Here is a 22,125-nt window from a genome sequence, read left to right on the forward strand (position 1 = left end):
GCATGTTTCTCCTACTTAGTACTGCAAACTAGAAGGCATTTCTAGTAATGGTAAATCTGCCATTTAAGCAATATTAACTGGACATGCTAAATGGGAGCCAGTAAATTGCTCAAGCCCTCAGAGGGTAGAGTAGAAGATGGAGTGCTGGTAGGGATGAAACCTCCACTTGATAGCCCTTTGTGGAGTGTTTACTAGGGGTCATAGCAAAGGCCTGTGAGCACCTCCCAACAACCACTACTGGGACTGTGGACTACAGAATTTCTACTTGAGAGGCATTTCTGCCTTGGAATGGGACATTAACAGAAGCTATCCCTATGACTGGAGGACATAAAATGATCTTGACACCTAAAATACACATGCTGTCTGGAGTGATGTCAGAGAAACACTCTAACGGGGATAGCAGTGCCCAGAAGAGTACATAATAAAATGGGAATGGATCTTGCTACCTGAGGAGTGCAAAGAGGATATACTCATGAGCTGCGAGCCTCTTTCTCTCCTAGGACTGATCCTGGAACTGGTGAGGAGTTGCTGGATACCATAGTACCTGACAAACAGCTCTAACCTAAGAGTTGCTTGGCTTGTGGATGGCAGTTCCAAGGTCATCAGGCAACATCCTGTTTGGAAGGCATTACTCTGATTGAAGAAGAGTCAAGAAAACTTTTTTGTTTTGAGCTCTTTATAACTTATAATGATTAAGTGTATTTTTGTAAGCAAAATTTGTCCTTCTCTCTATATGAGTTCTCCCAAATTTGAAAACTATTTGTGTTATTTTATGGCAATATAGTTATGTACATATGTTCAATATGAATGTTTTCTTTTGTAATAGGACACAATTGGAGACACATTATTTTACCAAGGCTTTGACTGGAATGGTCTATTTTCAGACATGATCAATCTGCTTGGGGAATTGAAGTTGACTGCAGAGAGCCAATAAAAAGCCCATGGAAAGACTGGTTCCCTAAGAAGTTTCCTGACCCGTGGTAAGTAATGAATGTCACTTTCTAACAGGATCAGAAATCTCAAGATATTTTGAGACCTCAAGAAGAGAGAAATTTGTACAGGTATTATAAATGCAGTCTAATGGTGAATCCTTGGCTTTGCTTCTGGCGTTGAGGCTTTAAAACACTGGAATAAAAAATTCTGATAGTTCTAGCAAAGCCAACTTAAAAGGAGCCTATATGGCTGATCACTATTCCTGCTACAATTTATTCAAATAACCAGGCCAATATAATGAGACAAATTTATTTTGCAAATAAATTGGTCCTAGTATAATTTATCCTTGGTAGAAATAAGAAAACTGGAGAAAAAAAAATCTTAGATTCTAGCCCTGACCACTGCTTTTGAGTTTTTATAATTTGCCTATAATTTGGACTAAATCCTGAATTATTTCCTGGCTACAAGAAGTCTCTAAAAAGGAACTTGGTTTTAATTTTCTTCATGATGCTTTTAGTTGGCTGCTTACTCGAATAGGCTCCTTTCATTTTTGTTCTGGCATACAAATTCTCTTCTGATTGTAATCCTTGTGTGGATTGTATTTCTACTATTCAAATTATTGATGCTATGTATCTTTTGTTGTTTTACTTCCGAGAAAACTAAAGTCATAGTATTCTGAAGACTAGAGAAATTCAACGAAGCCTGTCAATCTCCCTTGTTTGAAATCCCAAGGAGTATGTTGGCAATGAGAAACCAATATGGCCCAGTGGGATTTCAAAGGCTCTGGGACCATTGCAAAAAAGAAGGGTGCGTGAGACTCTACACATGAATTAGTGGAATGTGGAGGACAAAGCAACGCCACCTAGGATGTTAATCCACCATGTGGACTTCCCCTGTTCTGGGAAGGCTTCTAAGATTTCCCCTCTCTCTATTGTTTCTTGTGTAAAAGCATGTACTTACTGTAAATCCTGCCCTTAGATCAAGACAACTTTGATGTTATTGTATTTCAATTGTCCTACATGTCCCTTCTGAGTCACCCTTTCCCTGTGGTATACAACCCCTGGGTCTGAGGGGTAATGGCACTGGGATCCACCATCTTGTCTCACTGCCGCCTGAGATGCAGACAGGGCTTCTGTTTTTAAGTCTCCATTAAATGTTTCTTTTTGAGAAACGTTAATGTGTCAGCCTCTTTCTTTAGCCTCTCAGCTTCCTTAGACTTTGGAGCGTAGGTCTGTATAGTCCTGCTTACCTTGAAATAGATGGGTTAGGGAGAAGGAACACCAGGGAGACGTTCGAATTATTTCACCTAAAAATGTAGAGAAGTTTTGTGAAACAGTGCTTAATTAATAAAAAGGTATTTCTTGAGAGATGGTTCTATTCCTACTACTGGCAAAAATGTAGATGAAAGATTGTTTGGCATGATGCCAAATATTACCCTATAAATTACTTCCTAATTGCAAAGGGAAAACTATAACTTTACCATAGAAAGAACTGTCTGTCAATAATCAAATGATCAAATAGCATTGTCAACAAAGAGTCAAACTTTGTAAAATATTTGAAGAGATTTATTCCGAGCCAAATATGAGTGATCATGGCCCACGACACAGTCCTTGGGAGATCCTGAGAACATGTGCTCAGGGTGGTTGGGGTGCAGGTTGGTTTTATATATTTTAGGGAAATATGAGACTTCAATCAAATACATTTAAGAAATACATTGGTTCAGTTCAGAAAGACAGGACAACTTGAAGCAGGGGTGGAGCTGGGGGGGTAGGCGGGGGGAGGTTCCAGGTTATAGGCAGATTTAAACATTTTCTGGCTGACACTTGGTTAAGTTTATCTAAAGACCTGGAACCAACAGAAAGGAAATGTCTGGGTTAAGATTAAAGGATTGTGGAGACCAAAGTTCTTATTGTGCAAAGGAAGCCTTCAGGTGAGAACAGAAAAGCATTCTGTTATCTCTCTCCTTCAGAGAGAAGAGATTGTAAATGTTTCTTATCAGACTTAAGGTCTGTGTTGATGTTAACATCACTGAGGTATAAAGAGGCATGTCCAACCCCCACTTCCCATCATGGCCTGAAGTAGTCTTTCAGGTTAAATTTAAATTTTAGAGTGCCCTAGCCTACGAGAAAGTCCATTCAGATAGTTGGGGGGAATTTAGAATTTTGTTTTTGGTTTACAGCAAGCTTGTCCAACCTGCTGCCCACAGACCACATGCAACCCACAGGCCACATGCAGCTCAGGACAGCTTTGCATGCAGCCCAACATAAATTTGTAAGCTTTCTTAAAACGTTATGAAATTTTCTTGCGTTTTTGTTTTGGTTTGTAGCTTATCAGTTAACATTAGTGTTAGTGTATTTTATGTATAGCCCAAGACAATTCTTTTTCTTCCAGTGTGGCCCAGGGAAGCCAAAAGATTGGACACTGCTGGCTTACACCATCACCAATAGTGGGACAAATCTGATATTAAATGCCTCCTAATGTAATACAATATTAACTACACAGTATGACCTTTGAAGTATCCTTATCCAATGTTTAATCTGAACTCCTCAAGCCTCTGGTAACTTGCAACTGATAGGAAATACAAAATCTAGAGGTACAAAATAAATAAAATCGGACAATCCAGCATTAGGGCATTCTTCATGACAACTGCTTGGTATCTTAAATTTGTTTAAAAAGACAGTTATTATTGGGAAAAATGAATTAGATTAAAAGCTTTAGATTAAAAGAAGCCAAAGAAAGTTAAAGCCCAACTTCAATGGGCAATCATTCATAGGATCCTGGTTCAAAAACAAACTATTTACAAAAGGTATTCTGGAGACAACTGGACAACTGGAGAAATGTAAATATTCTCTGGACCTTAAATAATAGTAGCGAATAATTGTTAATTTTCATTGATGTGATAAAGGTTTTATAGGAAATGGTTATATAGGAAAATGTCCTTGTAGGAGACATATAGCTAAAGTATTCTGAACTGAAGTGTCTTATCTACAACCTACAGATCTGAGAAAAATAAAACCAACAACCAAAACACACACACATAGGTACACATATAAATATATAAATAAATATGGAAAAATATTTGAATCTAGGTGATAATGATATTGAGAAGAAATTACTCAGGCCGATAGTACGAGTATGGGAGTCCTCAGTGTAAAAAGTGAAGTAGAGGTTCCTCTTCAAATGGACTTTCCTTTCCGTCTAATTAGGAATAAACAGTAACTTCTCTTAAAAGCAAAATTTATTCAAAGAACTGTGCTAACATATTGGAGGCCGAAACAATGAGGTTCGTGATCAACTCAGTATATCACTGGAGGCTATATGAGTAAGCAGCAAACTGTTTCTCATAAATGCAGAACGTTGGCGAACTGACAAACTGCGTATGCCACCCAGGAGGACTGCTGAGGGTAGTTACGATCTAGGCACAAATGTTTCTTATGATTAGGCATAATTGAAGCCTGTCAGTAACAATATGAACCTGTGATCAATTAAGCAGCTGACCAATCGTTACCACCTCCTCCCTGCTCCTGTTACCCAAAAAATAGGAAGGGCTGTGGAAGCTCTGTGGCTGCCTTTGCTCACGAGAAGCAGGGAGCTCTCTTCTTCTTCCCCTGGCCCTTTCCTTAAAACAGTTCCTTTTGTCTTAAGTTATCATTTCTACGTTCGTCCCTTCATTTGATCTCACAATGATGGTCTCAAGCAGTAACAGTAGTAACTGCTGTAACGATGGTCTCAAGTAGTAACCGTGGCAGTTGGCCACACTAACATTCTTTGATATCTGTTGGCCGTAATAAAGAAATCAATGTACTTTGTGCTCTTAGCTGCCACATTTTAGCCTAGATATTTGCCCTGGCATGCTTATACTGGTCCAAGGAAGCATTAGGCCATAGCCTGTTTTCTTCCTTATCTGGAGGTGTTTTTACCTTTCTCAGCATTCCACAAGTTGCTTCCTCCTTCCTTTGTTCTCCTCTGTCTTTGCCTCTTTTGGAAAGTTCTAAGTTGCTAGCCAATCAGGACAAGTACAGAGGTCCCCTTCCAGCCAATGGAAACCGGACACGGTAGTAGGGTGCACGTGTCAGGTTATAAATGACCCTGTCTCCTTTATGCGTGTGTGCTCTCGTGGCAAGACTACTAGCGAGCGGCAACCTTTCTGCAGAAAGTAAACTAGCCTTGCTAAGAGCTCCTTTGTCTCAGTGTTGATTTTTGCAACACTGAGCGCCCGTTCCCAACATCAGTAAGGCTTTTCTTTTTAATGAAAAGCAGCCCCAAATCCTTTTCTAAGAGCAGCCTGTGAAGTCGAGCTGCAGGCACAGACAAACAAGGGGGTAGCTTGCTTGGGTGAATGGTGGCAGGAACTACCGACTAGACATGTTTAAGATGAGGGCTCCATCTTCGCTTCTCTGCCAGCCACGTGTACAGTAAGAAGGGGTTACAATAGGCATATGGGTGATTTTGTGCTTTTCGTTCATCTTTTCTGTGTTTAAAATGTTCAGAATAAGAAATTGGAACAAAGGAGACATGAATAGACAATTCCTAATCATCTTTAAGAGTCCGCTTTGTGTTTTACTTACCACCACCACTTTGAAGGCTTTCTTGCCTATACCAGGACAAACTCAGCTCTTTATCCCTTTTCCGAATTTTCCTGGTACTTTCACTTTGAATATAGCGCTTAATTAACATTCTGCCTTGTACCTAGGACTAACACACTATAAATTCCCAGAAGACAAAGTAGGGGAATACAATAACAGGATATAGAATTTTAACAGCTAAATTAGATGAATTTATGGGTGACCTTTATTGGGCAAAAGAAAATGTTAAGTTAGTATAAGATTTAGTATAAGCTACCATCTCAAAACTCAGGGTCTCACTGGAAGAGAAAGTGACTCCAGGTAGAATTCCTCAGGGAGACATTCACTTCCATCATTCGCTGAACCAGGAGCTTTGGACAGCCTCGGATTGCACCCGCATATCCAAGGACACCACATCAGCGGACAAGTCATAAACAGCCTTGGGAATACGCGGAAAGGTCAAATTTACCTAAACAATTAAATTCTCTTTTAAATTTTAAGGAAACACAAGTATGCTTTCGCTTTAGGTAGGGCATTTGAGAGCAAAATGTACTAATACTTTGAATCCGCCAAGCAGACACGATCTGGGTTTGACCGTTCTCTCCGGGTAAAGGTGAAGGCTGACCACGGGGGCCGCTCTCCCTCCAGGCCCCAGCCACGCCCTCTAACCCAGGTTCCCGTCCTGCACCGCGCCGCAAGTCCCCCCACCGTTCAGCGCAACCGGGCCCTCCCAGCCCCGCCGCCGTCCCCCTCCCCCGCCCTGGCTCTCTTTCCGCGCTGCGGTCAGCCTCGGCGTCCCACAGAGAGGGCCAGAGGTGGAAACGCAGAAAACCAAACCAGGACTATCAGAGATTGCCCGGAGAGGGGATGCGACCCCTCCCCAGGTCGCAGCGACGGCGCACGCAAGGGTCACGGAGCATGCGTTGGCTACCCGGCGCCGGGGACCGCTGCCACCCCGCCTAGCGCAGCGCCCCGTCCTTCCGCAGCCCAACCGCCTCTTCCCGCCCCGCCCCATCCCGCCCACGGGCTCCAGTGGGCGGGACCAGAGGAGTCCCGCGTTCGGGGAGTATGTCAAGGCCGTGACCCGTGTATTATTGTCCGAGTGGCCGGAACGGGAGCCAACATGGCAGCGGGGTTCGGGCGATGCTGCAGGGTGAGAGGGAGCCCAGCGGTGCGGTGGGGCTGGAACATGGGTATTGTGGTGTCGGAGCAGGGGGCCCTGGGCCAAAAATAGGTGCGGCCGGGAGGAGTGGGAAGTCGGGCTGAGGAAGGAGCCAGCCTAGGGGCCCCCAACCTGCTTTCACGCCTCCTACCACCGGACGGAACGTAGCCTAGCGTTTCATTTTCCGTATCCTCCCGTCAGGCGACCCCGTTATAGCCGGCATCCTCTCTTTAGAATATCGTTTTTCTTTCTCTGGTAAACCCTCCAAATATTTACCGCGGGAATCCCACCTTTTTCCAAAGTGACCCCGTCTCTGTGTCAGAACCACGGGAAAAAGAAAAATGGAGCAGCTACTCCTTGAAATACTTAATGTTTAATAAGCTTTTCGTTGTAACGTTTCCACGTTGCTTACGGGAAAAAAAAAAGTAAAAAAAAAACCTGCAGAATTTTATGTGAACTTGTGTGTATATTCTAGTATTGGATCTTAATAGATTCTAAATAAGTTTGTCACTAGATGAATTTTGGTATCTTAAATATTCTTGATATGTTCACACCACTGCCATTTAGATGTCACTTAAAATTAAGTTAAAGTTATGTCTTGGACCAAAAAAGCTGCGGTTTTAGAATAATCCTAAAGAATTGCTGCCCATGTTTTGCTGGTGTTATGCAAGTTAATGTGCAGTGAAGGCAGAAATTGGGAGATTTCAGCTATTTTTAACTCCTACACCAGAAAAGCAGATTTCTCAACCTCCAAGGAAGGATCTAAAAAAAACCTGATATAGAAAACTTACACCCTTTTTCTCTTCTTTAACCCATAAAACTGACACTCTTATATTCCCAAGAAATGCACAAAAGTGTTCAATTCTAGTGGTGCTGTTTCGATATTTGGAATTTCATTGTTCTAGACAGAGAGCCCGAAGTAATAAAACCAATAGTTATATAGCATTAGGCTTTCAAAACATTATCGTACTTTAATCGTCCGAAAATACGCAGTGAGATTAGTCCCATTTTTTGGTTTTGAACGGAAGCTATAAGCAGTTTGTAAACCTGTCTACGGCCACAAATATGGTTGTGGAACCTAGATTCACATTCAGCAATTATAACTCCAGATCCCGTGCTGTTTCTGTTTTCTATTTGCAAACCACCTCTCTAATTAACTGGCTAACTTTGTTATGTAATTAACAGGTTGATGGGCATTGTATTCTGGTAATAGCAACCTTTGCACTTTGTTCTATGTAACATATTTTCCTGAACAGTCACATGTGAAGTGACTTTTTCCCTATTTAAATTCCCTCGGTTGGCCAGGTGCGGCGGCTCACGGTTGTGATCCTAGCACCTTGGGAGGCCTCGGCGGGTTGATCACTTAAGGCCAGGAGTTCGAGACCAGCCTGGCCAAAGCAGGGAAACCCTGTCTTTACTAAAAATAGGAAAAATTAGCTGGGCATGGTAGCATATGCCTGTAATCCCAGGAGGCTGAGTCTGCAGTGAGCGGAGATCTCTCCACCGCACTCTAGCCTGGGTGACAGAGGGAGACTCTGTCAAAAAAAAAAAAAAGTCCCTCAGTAGACCATTTAACCTGGTTTGAGTTCTGACTTTTGTGCATGGTATTTAAAAACGCATTTATAATAGAGTCAGGTTTTTTGTTCTGATTTTTGTGGAATGTTTTCCTTTGTTATGGAACCTAGTGACCAATTAGGATACTAACAGAAAGATCAGTATAGCAAGGTGGTTAATAGCATGCGCTCTTGATAGTAAATGTTAGAATCCTGGTTGCACTAATAGTAGAGTGACTTTGCCTAATTTAGTTGACTTTCTGAGCCTTCGTTTCTTCACATGCGAAAGTGGAATAAAAGTAATGGCTTAATCCTAGACTTGACCTGGGATTCAGTGAATTAACCTGTGTAACGCGACTGTAAATCAGAGTAGATTTGGTCTGTGACTGCTGGACAATAAGCACCAGAGAAACTGTTTCACTTTTTTTTTTTTTTTTTTTTTTGAGACGGAGTCTTGCTCTGTCACCCAGGCTGGAATGCAATGGTGCAGTCTAGGCTCACTGCAACCTCCGCCTTCCGGGTTCAAGCGATTCTCCTGCCTCAGCGTCCCGAGTAGCTGGGACTACAGGTGCGTGCCACCACACCTGGCTAATTTTTGTATTTTTAGTAGAAATGGGGTTTCACCATGTTGGTCAGGCTGGTCTCAAACCCCTGACCTCGTGATCCGCCCACCTCAGCCTCCCAAAGTGCTGGGATTACACGCATGAGCCACCCCACCTGGCACTGTTTCACTTTCAAAATAAAATTAATGAAGATGCAAAGAAAATGCGAGTTTTCATACTCTGTATGTTTTTATTACTGTAGTATGAGGTATGTTATTTGGAAAGCACTGTTTCAATTACAAATATTTGACACTCTTAATTATATTGTCACCTTACATGTAGGAATTCGTCTTTTATAAGTTGAAATTGTCATCTACAAAGACAGTTTCTTTTTACGGATTTTGAAAAACATAAGAATTTAAATAAAGAAACTTTAGTATATTCTTCAGCTGCTCTTTTCTCTTAGTATCTAAGCTTGTTAAAATTGCTGGATAGTTCAATTAAAATCTTTTACAGTGAAAATTGTGTAATTTTGACTGTCCTGAAACCTTTACTCAAGAACACCATTGTGGTTCCCAGTTTGGCAGCTTTAATAAATGCAAATTTTTACTTTTGTATCCATTAAACTGTCATGAATATAAAAATGGGTTGCAAAACAATAATATATGTATATTTGATTGTTTGTTTCTTTATATGTTCCTTTGAAGAAATATGACTATATTTCAGATCCTAAGACAAGTAGTGTATTAGTAGTTTAGAAGAGGGATGGCAAACGTGTTTGTAAAGGAACGGATAGTACATGTTTTTGGCTTTGTGAACCAGATGGTCTCTGTGGTAACTACTTAGATCTGCTGTGAAAGCGGCAATAGACAGCATGATGTGGCTGCACTGGTTTGGTGACTCCTTGCTCAGAACATTGTAAGAATCCCTGTAGACAGCAGAAAATACAGAACATGGTTTTATGCTAATTTGTTTTGTTAGAGTGGGGTATCCTAAAAAATGAGATCCTCTGAGGGGAAGGTTTCCAGAGGCATGCATGGGAGGCTCACAGTGACAGGGTATCAAAGTTGATGGACTAGGCAACTCTTGAACACAGTATGTTCACTTCCAGCCTATCGTTCTCCCCACCCCAACTCTCCAACCATTAATGTCCTAGGAGCTTGTAAGATACCCAGAATAGTGGTCCTACATCTACTACTACCCTTGACTGTTGTTTGTCCTAAACCCTCCACTTCAGTAGTATAAATACCACTGACTTTATTTTCATTACTTTTTAAAAACATCTCCTCTGTAATAGGAATTTATATAACTGATAATTGGCTTATTTAAATTATGATTGAAGGCATTTAAATAGTGATGACTTTAAAAACTATGAGTATGGTCAAACCAGTTGCTGTACTCACTTATGATTATCAGTAGTCTCTTATCTGATTAATGTTTAACTTATCAAATTTATTTTAATAAAAGTGTTCTTTACAGGTCCTGAGAAGTATTTCTCGTTTTCATTGGAGATCACAGCATACAAAAGCCAATCGACAACGTGAACCAGGATTAGGATTTAGTTTTGGTATATGTTCGGTTCTATCTTTTGACTTTAAACTTATACATATGAAGCTTTATATGTTTTGTTTGGAATATGTTTGTAAATAAACTTAATAATGTCTTTCAATGAGTAGAACCAGTCCACTGTCCACAGATAATTTACAATAACTCACACTCCATTCTTCCTGATCTCATTTTCTTCCTCAGTATACTACACTGTACATTAGATCTGTTTTAGCAGCATACATACACTTAAATTCCTTCCTTTTTTTCTGAGTGTTTAGCCCAAAATAAATGAGATTTACTGATATATATGAATAGTCTTCAACTTACATATCTGAATGCCACAAATACATTTTAAAAACACTTGTTAGATTACAATTCTAGGTGCCTGGTAATAAGCTAAAGCTTGTTTTTGCTATAATATATCCAAATTGCAATTTTGGTACTATTAGATGAAGTTCTCACTCCTGGGACCAGGGAGCCATGATTTTTTTTCCTCTGCCCTCTATAAAATGAAAACTACACACAAAAAATTTGAAATAATATCTATCTTTGGCATTCTTGGCCTTCTAAAGTGCTTCTTCAAAATTTTTATTTTTTCTCTAGTTAAAAACCATTTACTCAATTTATTTGGTCTCAGAAAATAGTTAAAGGCAGCTGCGATAACTCACAGCTAGGTACAAATGACAATCTCAAAGCTCTCCAGAGTTATTTTTTTTATTATTTGTTGTGTTTTTTAAAGATTTTTCCCTTTTCTTTATAAAGGTTTTTTTTTTTCTTACCAGAATTTAATGAAATTTTTCTTTTCTTTTTCTTTCTTTCTTTTTTCTTTTTTTTTTTTTTTTTAAGATGAGGTTTCATTGTCTCATTATGTTGCCCAGGCCGATCTTGAACTCCTAGGCTCAAGCAGTCCTCTTATTTCAGCCTCCCAAAGTGCTGGGATTATAGGCATGAGCTACTGCACCCAGACCAAATGAAAAGTTTCTGTGTTTTTTTTTTTTTTCCTGTGACTTCTAGCCAAAGACTGGATGAAAATTTTCTCTTTTCTTTTTTTTGAGACAGAGTCTCACTCTGTCACCCAGGCTGGTGTGCAAGTGGCTCACTGCAACCTCTACCTCCCAGGATCAAGCGATTCTCCTGCCCCAGCCTCCTGAGTAGCTGGGACTACAGGTGTGGGTCATCATGCCTGGCTAATTTCTATATTTTTAGTAGGGATGGGGTTTTGCCACGTTGGCCAGGCTGGTCTCGAACAGCTGAAGACAAGTGATCCACCCACCTCTGCCTCCCAAAGTGCTGGGATTACAGGCATGAACCACTGTGCCCAACCTAAATGAAAATTTTTTTTCTTTTCTCTTTCTGTAGCCAAAGACTAAATGAAAGTTTTCAAGCACTGTGAGGATAGCCATTTGGGATGGTGGATTTTTTTTTTTTTTTTTTTTTTTTTTTGAGACTGAGTCTTGCTCTGTTGCTCAGGCTGGATTGCAGTAGCTCCATCTGGGCTCATTGCAACCTCTGCCTCCTGGGTTCAAGCGATTCTCCTGCCTCAGCCACCCAAGTAGCTGAGATTACAGGTGTGGGCCACCATACCTGGCTAATTTTTATATTATTAGTAGATATGAGGTTTCGCCATGTTGGCAACGCTGGTCTCGAACTCCTGGCCTCAAGTGATCCACCCGTCTTGTCCTCCCAAAGTGGGATTATGGGCATTAGCCAGCATGCCCAGCCAGGGTAGTGGATCATACTGAGATAATTAGCATTAATTTGGTATGATTGCTTGTCACTTTAAATTTCTCTCTCAGTAGTAAGAGACTTGCAGGAGAAATCTATGGTGGTTCACTGAGTGACAGAGGATGAGTTAGATATAATTGTTTGGGAGGGAGATTGTGAAGTTCAATACGGGTCTATTCCTTGAACCAGTTGCATCTGGTTCTTTATCTGTAAAGTGGAAATAATATCTATAACACAGAATTTCTATGAAGATTAAATTATATGCTGTATTTAAAGCCCCTAGCACTTAGTGACTGGATCAAAGTAGTTTCTCAATAAATAATACATAATACATACTTGTCATTTTTCCTTTTTTTTTTTTTTAAGAGACAGGGTTTCACTCTGTCACCCAAGCTGGATGCAACCTTGACCTCTGGGGCTCCATGGATTCTCTCGCCTCAGCTTCCTGAGCAGTTAGGACAATAGGTCCATGTCAACCACACCTAGCTGATTTTTTAAATTTTTAAATGTTTTGTTGAGACAGGATCTTGCTATATTGCTCAGGCTGGCCCCAAACTCCTGGCCTCAAATGGTTCACCTGCCTCAGCCTCCCAAAATTCTAGAATTATAGGCATGAGCTACCGTGCCCAGACTTTCTCTACCCTCTATCTACCTGCAAGATTGCTATCAACTGGCACCAATCTTAGAAGTAAAGCTGTGATAGAGAGAACACTGGACTGAAATTCTTAAGTATACTTCTGCTAATTCATTGTGAGACTGATACTAGAATTTCCTTACTCTGCATTAGTTTATCAATAAAAAGAGAGATTTGGCTGGGCGCAGTGGCTCGGGCCTGTAATCCCAGCACTTTGGGAGGCCGAGGTGGGCGGATCACGAGGTCAGAAGATCGAGATCCTGGTGAAACCCCGTCTCTACTAAAAATACAAAAAAAAAAATTAGCCGGGCGCGGTGGCAGGCACCTGTAGTCCCAGCTGCTCAGGAGGCTGAGACAGGAGAATGGCGTGAACCCGGGAGGCGGAGCTTGCAGTGAGCCTAGATTGCGCCACTGCACTCCAGTCTGGGCGACAGAGCGAGACTCCGTCTCAAAAAAAAAAAAAAAAAAAAAAAAAAAGAGATTTGATCTTATGCTCTTCAATTCAGCACCAGAATTCAGCTTTTATGTATTGTTTCTCACATCCCCATACAAATGATTACTGTAGTCTTAAACATTCCTCTGTGCATTTGCTCTCATTTTTCTTGCTTGAAATACCCTATTATCTCTTAAATTTTACCTAATCTTTGACGTTAGATGCAACCACATTAAAACACAAGGATACCATGGATTTGAAAAGATGCAGTTAGCAATTGACTCCTCTCCTCAATCAAGCCACCATACTAATTTCATTAATTTTAAAACAATCCCTTATTTTATGTAAACAAATTGTTGGACACCATTTATTAGCATTGCAGCAGGATTTTATGTTATTATCTTTTGAAAAACCTTTCTACCACTTTTACCAGTTGCTTTGTGCTAATTTATAAGCTTGTCTGAGTTTAAAGGAGCTGTAAGCCTAGGCATGGTGTCTCATGCTTGTAATCCCAGCACTTTAGGAGACCACGGCAGGAGGATTGCTTGAGGCCACGAGTTCAAGACCAGCCTGGCATCATAGTGAGACCCTGTCTCTGTGAAAACAAAAAAAATGAAATAGATAGGGTGAGGTGGCTCCCAGCACTTTGGGAGGCCAAGATGGGAGAATCATTTGAGCCCAGGAGTTCTAGACCCATTTGGGCAACATGGCAAAACCCTGTATCTACAAAAATTACAAAAATTAGCCAGATATGGTGGCATGTGCCTGTGATCCCAGCTAGTTGAGAAGCTGTGGTGGGAAGATCATTTAAGGCCAGGAGGTCGAGGCTACAGTGAGTCGTAATTGCACCACTGCACTCCAGCCTGAGTGACAAAATGAGACTGTCTCAAAAAAAAAAAGCAAAATTATGATATTGATATTCTTATATGACACTTTGAAATAAGTTTTATTGCTTTATGTCACTGAGTGTGTTTCATCTATTTCGTTAGATTGATTCTTGTCGTCAGGGAGATGTCTTGTATATTAGTTTCACTTCAGTGTTAGCAAACATTTGATAAATTGGCTTAGGAACTAATAATAAGTTAAACGTTTTTTATATCACCAATTGGAAAAGAAAAACTCACTTGAGCTCTACAGGTTAATATCTATTACTCATTTGTAAAAGTTAAAAATCTTACCTATTTCCTTTAGCATTTGTATTGACATAGGTTTATTTATATTGTGTAGTGAACTCTTGATTAGTCAAAAAATGCACTGTAGTCTGAGTTTCTGATAATCAAGGATTTAAGTCCCCACAATAAATACACATTTCTACATACTGACTTCATAGGACATTTTTCCTTGTTATCCAGTTTTAACTTTTCTAAATAATTTTCCCTTAGAGTTCACCGAACAGCAGAAAGAATTTCAAGCTACTGCTCGTAAATTTGCCAGAGAGGAAATCATCCCAGTGGCTGCAGAATATGATAAAACTGGTGAAGTAGGTATATACATTTTAAAGAGGGAAAAATCTTTTACATTTTTTACAAGATTATGTAATCAAACTATCTGGATTTCAAAATATATTTTAACTCAGTTCTTTTTCTTCTAGTATCCAGTCCCCCTAATTAGAAGAGCCTGGGAACTTGGTTTAATGAACACACACATTCCAGAGAACTGTGGTAAGCTTTCTTTATATTTTTAATACTGGAATGCATATGAGTAAGAAAAATTGTGGAACTCTACTCAGTCATTTTTTTCAAATATTTCTTGCCATTAAATGACTTTCTACCTTTGTCTTCCTGCTCAGACTACAGTGTTTGCCCACTTTTGGAAGCTTGCACTCTATACCTAGATGCGTTTTTCCTTCTTCTAACTGGTTCCAACCTTAACTTGCACCTAAACCTTGGTAACTTCCGTTTCTAGAGTTGGTCAATTTGTTGTGTTTTATTCCTATCTTCTATATTACATTTTATTGAGTCTTTTTTGTGAACCATGATTCTTTTCCTCAGACCCAGTTTTAGAGTTGAATTGAGTTTTAACAAAATCAAGTTAGAACAGGAATACAGGTTCAAATTACAAATAGTAAAATAATTTTTTGAAAATTTTAGAGCTTTAAGAAAGTATAATTTCTTATTGTGCCAGCCAGAACACATGTAGATATTATATTGCAAATTTCCTTTTAAAACAAATTTTGGTCATATTGAAAGCAATTAAAATAGTTTACCTTTATTTCTATTGTGATGTACTACATATTACAATGTGTTGAAACATTTTGATACTGTAGGAGGTCTTGGACTTGGAACTTTTGATGCTTGTTTAATTAGTGAAGAATTGGCTTATGGATGTACAGGGGTTCAGACTGCTATTGAAGGAAATTCTTTGGGGGTAAGTGACTTAGAAAATTAACTACCTAACTCAGCTCTTGTTAATGAGATAGTTACTCCTGAAGAAGTTGGATTTTTAGAAGAAAAAAAAAGGAAAGTCAGTTACTACTAGGTAAGGTTAGTGGGTACACACAGTTTTCTTTAAAGAGGAACACAAGATTCAGCAGTGAAGCCTGGAGTTCTGATTTCGAGGCTTGATAACTCTGGCCTTGTCTCTAGTACTCGGAGTTCTGACTGTCCTTTGGAGGAAACTGTATACTTTGGCTGCAGCTTCAGTGGCAATTCTTAGGTAAAGCCAAGGGCTAAATCCAGAATTCAGGAGCAGGATTGGGATGGTTTGCTGCCACTATGGCAGTACTGAAATTTAGCAAGCAATTCTTTTTTTTCTCACTCTGTCGCCCAGGCTGGAGTGTAGTAGCGCGATCTTGGCTCACTGCAACCTGCACCTCCTGGGTTCAAGCAATTCTCCTGCCTCAGCCTCCTGAGTAGCTGGGATTACAAGTGCGCACCACCACGCCCAGCTAATTTTTGTATTTTTTTTTTTTTTTTTTTTTGAGACGGAGTCTCACTCTGTTGCCCAGGCTGGAGTGCAGTGGCGCGATCTCAGCTCACTGCAAGCTCCGCCTCCCAGGTTCACGCCATTCTCCTGTCTCAGCCTCCCAAGTAACTGGGACTACAGGCGCCCGCCACCATGCCCGGCTAATTTTTTTTTTTTTTTTTTGTATTTTTAGTAGAGACGGGGTGTCACCCTGTTGGCCAGGATGGTCTCTATCTCTTGACCTCGTAATCCGCCCACCTCGGCCTCCCAAAGTGCTGGGATTACAGGCGTGAGCCACTGCGCCCGGCCTAACAAGCAATTCTTAGGCCTGATCATACATACTGTGTCACATATTCTAAACATAATTTTTTATTAGTGCATTTCACTATAGTAGATTTTCACAGATTATAATGCCACAGGTCCTACATATAACCTAATTTTATGAAAATACTTAGATTAGCAGATTTATTTCCTCATTCTAACTTAGAGGCAAGGTATAGGCCAGTTCTTTGGACTTACCTGTTAGGTGAAAAATAGTTATTTTTTCATTTTGAATTATAGCATCTCTGAATTTACATATCCAATAAAAATGACTTGATTTTTTAATGTCAATTTTCTTCGGTAGCAAATGCCTATTATTATTGCTGGAAATGATCAACAAAAGAAGAAGTATTTGGGGAGAATGACTGAGGAGCCATTGATGTGTGTGAGTATGTGTAACTGCCGCTTTATTTCACACTTAAGAAGGGAACAAAGGTGCTATTTCTCCTTTTCAGTCTATATGTATATATTGGGATATTTAGCATTGAAACAAAACTTAGCAACATATTATTACAATGATGTGTCAAGGATGCCAAGAAAGTATCATAATAGGCCGAGGGCAATGGCTCGCACCTGTAATCCCAGCACTTTGGGAGGCGGAGGCGGGCAGATTACTTGAGGTTAGGAGTTCACAGCCTGGCTAACGTGGTGAAACCCCATCTCTACTGAAAATACAAAAATTAACCAGGCGTGATGGCGCCTGCCTATAATCCCAGCTGCTCAGGAGGCTGAGGCATAAGAATCGCTTGAACCCGAAAAGTGGAAGATGCAGTGAGCAGAGATCACACCACTGCACTGCTACCTGGGCGACAGAGTGAGTGAGACCCTGTCTCAAAAAAAAAAAAAAAAAAAAGGTGTCATCATAATTTTGTTGCTTATTTCCAGGAGAAGAGAGATCTACTTGTGATGTTTTTGGGATGTCAAAAAGTGTCATAATAATCCTCTTACTTCAGGAGAGAGAGCTCTATTTAGTGGAGCATTCTACACTTTAAGAACTGAGTCATTGTGTCAGGAAGTTCAGATTGAATGTAGGGCAATGTGTGTTTGAACTAGTAGTGTTTTGAATTAGTAAAAAATTAATGTTGGCTGGTCGTGGTGGCTCACGCCTGTAATCCCAGCACTTTGAGAGTCTGAGGCAGGTGGATCACCTGAGGTTAGGAGTTCGAGACCAGCCTAGCCAAAATGGAGAAACCCCATCTCTACTAAAAATACAAAAATTAGCTGGATGTGGTGGCGCTTGCCAGCTACTTGGGAGGCTGAGGCATGAGAATCTCTTGAACCTGGGAGGCAGAGGTTGCTGAGTAAAGATGGCGGCACTGCACTCCAGCCTGGGCAACAGAGTGAGACTCTGTCTCAAAAAAAAAAAAAAGCAATTAATGTGGGCTGGGCATAGTGGCTCACACCTGTAATGTCAGCACTTTGAGAGGCTAAGGCAGGAGAACTGCTTGAGCCCGGGAGTTCAAGACCAGCCTGGGTAACACAGTGAGACCCTGTCTCTAAATAAATAAATAAATGAATAAATAAATAAAAATTAATGTGAACCTGTAACTGAAGAAATAGCAACTTATTTGTTGAATGACTGAATGACTTGGGAAGAATAGTTGTAGAGTTTATTTAAACCTCTGAAAGCAACTCAACAAATTTTTAAATTAGATTTTTTTAACAAGATAAATACACACACAGACATACACACACACACACACACACACACACACACACGCTCTATTCTGAAACTGTTGTTTACCTAAGGATTTTTACTTCTTGTTTACTCAAACATATTTCAATCTAAGGTGTGGTTGTTATACTGAAATACAGTAGATGTATTAGTTTTGAGCTAATGATGAGAATTCATCTTAAAGAACAGAAAATAATATTTGAAAATAAATGTTTTTTATTTCAGATACCTAAAATTTCAAGCAAACTGTTTAATAAAGGAATTTGTACATATTTGCTAGGAAATTTGCAATTTTTTTTAACAATTGAGAGGTTAGCTAAACATTCTCACTATTGTCTATAAGAACTGTGTGAAACGTCTAGATTGTTCTCCTGTAGCATATACAGTCAGCTCTCCATATCCATGAGGGAATAGTTTAGGACAGGTTGCCCTCCATATCAAAATTTTTGGTTGCCAAGTCTGTTATACAAAATGTACAGTTAGCCCTTTGTATCTGTGGGTTTTGCTCCACAGTTGGTTAAATTCCAAAATTCGTGGATGCCAAAGGCAAACTTTTAAAAAATTAAAATTTTATAACTTTTCTAATTATAAAATACTGAGTATAGAAAATTTAGAAATGTTTTAAGTAGAACAAAAATATCTGTAATCCCTCAGATATGGAGTTAATTAGTATTACTTCCTTATTGTAGTGCCTACCACATTTTTAAATATGTAATTGTGTTTTTAACAGTTAGCCCCCATTATATACATGTAGTTTTATGTACATCTTTATTTAACAACATGAACATTTTCTTATGCCTTCCTTCTTTTTACATGCTGTAACAATACTGCATAATTTGCTATCTAATGGATATGCTATAAATTGTTTCACTTTTCTGTACTGTTGAATGTTTAAACTCCTTGGGTTTTTACTTTGGAAAATAATGTTATGGTAAAAAATAATACAGAAAAAAAATAAATAAAAATGATCAAATAAGAAGCCAAGAACAGGCCAGGCATGGTGGCTCATGCCTGTAATCTTAACACTTTGGGAAGCCAAGGCAGGAGGATCGCTTGAGGCCAGGAGTTCAAGACCAGCCTGGACAACGTTGAGAGACTGCCACCACACACACACACAAATATATATATATATATATATATATATATATATATATATATATATATATGAAACCAAAAAGAAGAAAAGAAGACAAAAACAACTCTGAGGAACCAGTAGTGACAAGCCATTTTGTATAGAAAAAAACAGGCTCATTTACTTCACAGGCTCTAAAAACTTCACTGTATTATGAAACAGACAGATGTCTAATAGCATATTTCAGGGAAAAAAATACCTTAAAGGTGGTTAAAACAAAATTTTGGTACTTAAAAGGGGCATCTTTTATGGACAACTCCTTAATTTGTCATGATGCTGAATACATCAAATCTCCAGGTAGCAGAGTAATCTAGTTCAGTTAACTTGAGTGACACCTGAATCCCCTCTACAGAATCCCTGTCAAAAGACCATCTGGCTGACATGTTTTTATACCTCAGGTGCCTGGGAATCAACACCTTCTGAAACAGCATCATTTGCGAGCATCTGTTATCATTAGAAAAATATTTTGGATTACATAATGCTTAAGCACAGAACCTGTCATTTTTTTTTTTATAATTTTACCAGTTCATACTGTAATAGGTGTTCAATAAATGTTAGAGTGATTTCACTGTACTTTTCTTTGGCTATATTGCCCTTCAGATGTTTGAGTATAGTTATATTTATTTATTTATTTATTTTTTGAGACGGAGTCTCGCTCTGTTGCCCAGGTCGGAGTGCAGTGGTGTGATCTTGGCCCACTGCAACCTCTGCCTCCCAGGTTCAAGCGATTCTCCTGCCTCAGCCTCCCAAGCAGCTGGGACTACAGGTGCGTGCCACCACGCCTGCCTAATTTTTTGTATGTTTAGTAGAGACAAGATTTCACTGTGTTAGCCAGGATGGTCTCTATCTCCTGACCTCATGATCTGCCCACCTTGGCCTCCCAATGTGCTGGAATTACAGGTGTGAGCCACCATGCCCAGCCAAGTATTGTTATTATTTTTTTTTTCTGAAATGGAGTCTCGCTCTGTTGCCTAGGCTGGAGTGCAGTGGCACCATCTCGGCTCACTGCAACCTCCACCTCCCAGGTTCAAGCAATTCTTCCTCAGCCTCCCAAGTAGCTGGGATTACAGGCGCCCGCCACCAAGCCTGGCTAAGTTTTTGTATTTTTAGTAGAGACAGGGTTTCACCATGTTGGCCAGGCTGGTCTCGAACTCCTAACCTCAGGTGACCCACCTGCCTCGGCCTCCCAAAGTGCTGGGATTACAAACCTGAAGCCTCAGCCACCACGCCCGGCCCTAAGTAATCATTTCTAGTGCCCCTATATATGCTTACTACTTTGAATTAAAATGTATATAGTTTCTTTCTTTTTTGTTGTATATTTTTAAAAAATAAATTGACATGGGTTCTCGGCATGTTGACCAGGCTGGTCTTGAACTCCTGGTCTCAAGCGATCCTCCCATCTCAGCCTCACAAAATGCTAGGATTACAGGTGGGGGGCCACCATGCTCGGCCCAGTTTCTTTCTTCTTTGGACTGTAAGTACCTTAAGGGCAAGTAACTTGTTTCTTTAGTATCCACAGTACCGGCCACTCTTGAATTAACTTGCACTAACACTTGCCTTCTACCACCCCCTTTTATCCATTACTGCTTGTGTCTTGTCACTCCTCTGTTTAAGAGCTCTAAGAGGCTCCCCTGTTTCTACCAGATAAAATTTTAAATTTGTAATGTGATATAAAAGATTCTCGTCGACCATTTCCTTCCTTTCTTTCCAGACTCATGTCTTACCATTCCCTTACATGCACAGAATTTACATACTGTGGAACTCTGGTACTTTCAGCATTAGAAACACTGGGTAACTCTGTTTCTTATCTTAGTGTCATAGCATATGCCATTACTTGTACCTGGAATGCATATTCTTCCTCTTTTTCCCTCCTCGCAAAGAAGCCATTTTCCTTTTTGAGACTTAATTTAAACATCCTCTGCCCTGGGAAACTAGTTTCTCAAGCCCCTTGTCTGACTTTCACACATAGAGTTGCAGTATAGTTATTTATCTTCACTGTTACATTGTGAAAATCTCTAGGACTGAATGTCTTTTACCTCTGGTTTCCCCATATCCTAATTTACATCGTGGTACATAGTAGATATTCAATACATGTTTGCATGAATGAATACATGTGAAATTGAATTTAATGAACTTGTTTAAAGCTATCTAACATTTTCACTTTTTATTAAATATATGATTTGTTGATATACCTATGCCTAATTTGAATTATATATTAAGTGTTTTTAGGCCAGGCACTGTGGCTCATACCTGTAGTCCCAGCACTTTGGGAGGCTGAGGCAGAGGATTGCCTGAGCCCAGGAGGTTGAGACCAGCCTAGGCAACACAGTGAGATGCCATGTCTACAAAAAATTTAAAATTAGCTGGGCATGGTGATGTGTGCTTGCAGTCTCAGCTATTATACACGGGAGGCTGAGGCGGGAGGATTTCCTGAGTCCAGGAAGCCAAGACTGCATTGAGCCTCTGCATTCCAGCCTGGGCAAGAGAGTGAGACCCTGTCTCTTACAAACAAAACAGAAAAGTTTTTACATTTGAGTGGTTTCTTTGATTTTGTAAGAACATTTTAATTTTAGATATTTAAAAATATTTAAAATACAGCTTAAAAAATAAAACAATCCTGTTTCCAAACAGTCAAAATTTAATCACTAACATTTAATTTCATTTCTCTTGTTTTTATATATTCAAGGCTTATTGTGTAACAGAACCTGGAGCAGGCTCTGATGTAGCTGGTATAAAGACCAAAGCAGAAAAGAAAGGAGATGAGTATATTATTAATGGTCAGAAGATGTGGATAACCAACGGAGGAAAAGCTAATTGGTATGTTGTTCAAAACATCTTTGTATATTTTTTCTTAATTGTTTTATCTTCAAATCTCTCTTTCTTTCTGTATATTTTTAAACCACTACAGTTAAGGTATGTTTGTGGAACTGGAAGGCCTAAAGGAGATTATAAACAGTTCAGTGATTTTCAAAAACTAATTTTAAGCCCCTGCACTGTT

The 22,125-nt window shown here is 39.7% G+C and overlaps 2 protein-coding genes across 7 annotated transcripts in view, besides 5 other annotated features; one reads left to right on the top strand and one right to left on the bottom strand.

Moving 5' to 3' along the window:
• The window catches only part of SLC44A5 (solute carrier family 44 member 5), a 521,887-nt gene extending 516,038 nt beyond the window's left edge, over positions 1-5,849 (bottom strand). Inside the window, exons 1-2 of one of the 2 annotated variants that reach the window (XM_017000610.2) lie at positions 5,776-5,849; positions 2,183-2,239 (exon numbers count right to left, since the gene is read on the bottom strand). The gene's annotated coding sequence lies outside the window, so the exon portion shown is untranslated. Of the gene's footprint in view, positions 1-2,182; positions 2,240-4,853; positions 5,173-5,775 lie in introns of those variants that run through there. The other variant, XM_017000609.2, reaches the window with a different exon arrangement.
• Positions 1,571-2,196: an enhancer, noted in NCBI's record as "OCT4-NANOG hESC enhancer chr1:76185422-76186047 (GRCh37/hg19 assembly coordinates)". NCBI's record gives its function as "activates a minimal SCP1, AML or CMV promoter by ChIP-STARR-seq in naive and primed H9 embryonic stem cells {active_cell/tissue: H9 hESC(naive and primed)}" and the evidence as "EXISTENCE:reporter gene assay evidence [ECO:0000049][PMID:30033119]".
• Positions 5,929-6,018: an enhancer, noted in NCBI's record as "active region_1203". NCBI's record gives its function as "activates an Ori minimal core promoter by ATAC-STARR-seq in GM12878 lymphoblastoid cells {active_cell/tissue: GM12878}" and the evidence as "EXISTENCE:reporter gene assay evidence [ECO:0000049][PMID:35858748]".
• Positions 6,389-6,438: a silencer, noted in NCBI's record as "silent region_996". NCBI's record gives its function as "represses an Ori minimal core promoter by ATAC-STARR-seq in GM12878 lymphoblastoid cells {active_cell/tissue: GM12878}" and the evidence as "EXISTENCE:reporter gene assay evidence [ECO:0000049][PMID:35858748]".
• Positions 6,489-6,538: a silencer, noted in NCBI's record as "silent region_997". NCBI's record gives its function as "represses an Ori minimal core promoter by ATAC-STARR-seq in GM12878 lymphoblastoid cells {active_cell/tissue: GM12878}" and the evidence as "EXISTENCE:reporter gene assay evidence [ECO:0000049][PMID:35858748]".
• The window catches only part of ACADM (acyl-CoA dehydrogenase medium chain), a 38,971-nt gene continuing 23,388 nt past the window's right edge, over positions 6,543-22,125 (top strand). Inside the window, exons 1-8 of one of the 5 annotated variants that reach the window (NM_001286043.2) lie at positions 6,543-6,651; positions 10,235-10,322; positions 14,478-14,575; positions 14,687-14,756; positions 14,885-14,983; positions 15,362-15,462; positions 16,625-16,705; positions 21,814-21,944. In NM_001286043.2, coding sequence (NP_001272972.1) covers positions 6,622-6,651; positions 10,235-10,322; positions 14,478-14,575; positions 14,687-14,756; positions 14,885-14,983; positions 15,362-15,462; positions 16,625-16,705; positions 21,814-21,944 — 698 coding nt within the window. In that variant the 5' untranslated portion in view covers positions 6,543-6,621. Of the gene's footprint in view, positions 6,652-10,222; positions 10,323-14,477; positions 14,576-14,686; positions 14,757-14,884; positions 14,984-15,361; positions 15,463-16,624; positions 16,706-21,813; positions 21,945-22,125 lie in introns of all 5 variants that reach the window. The other 4 variants (NM_001127328.3, NM_000016.6, NM_001286042.2 and 1 more) reach the window with 4 other exon arrangements.
• Positions 6,669-6,758: an enhancer, noted in NCBI's record as "active region_1204". NCBI's record gives its function as "activates an Ori minimal core promoter by ATAC-STARR-seq in GM12878 lymphoblastoid cells {active_cell/tissue: GM12878}" and the evidence as "EXISTENCE:reporter gene assay evidence [ECO:0000049][PMID:35858748]".

This window comes from Homo sapiens, chromosome 1, assembly GCF_000001405.40.
Source record: "Homo sapiens chromosome 1, GRCh38.p14 Primary Assembly".
In the NCBI taxonomy this organism is placed as follows: Eukaryota; Metazoa; Chordata; class Mammalia; order Primates; family Hominidae; genus Homo; species Homo sapiens.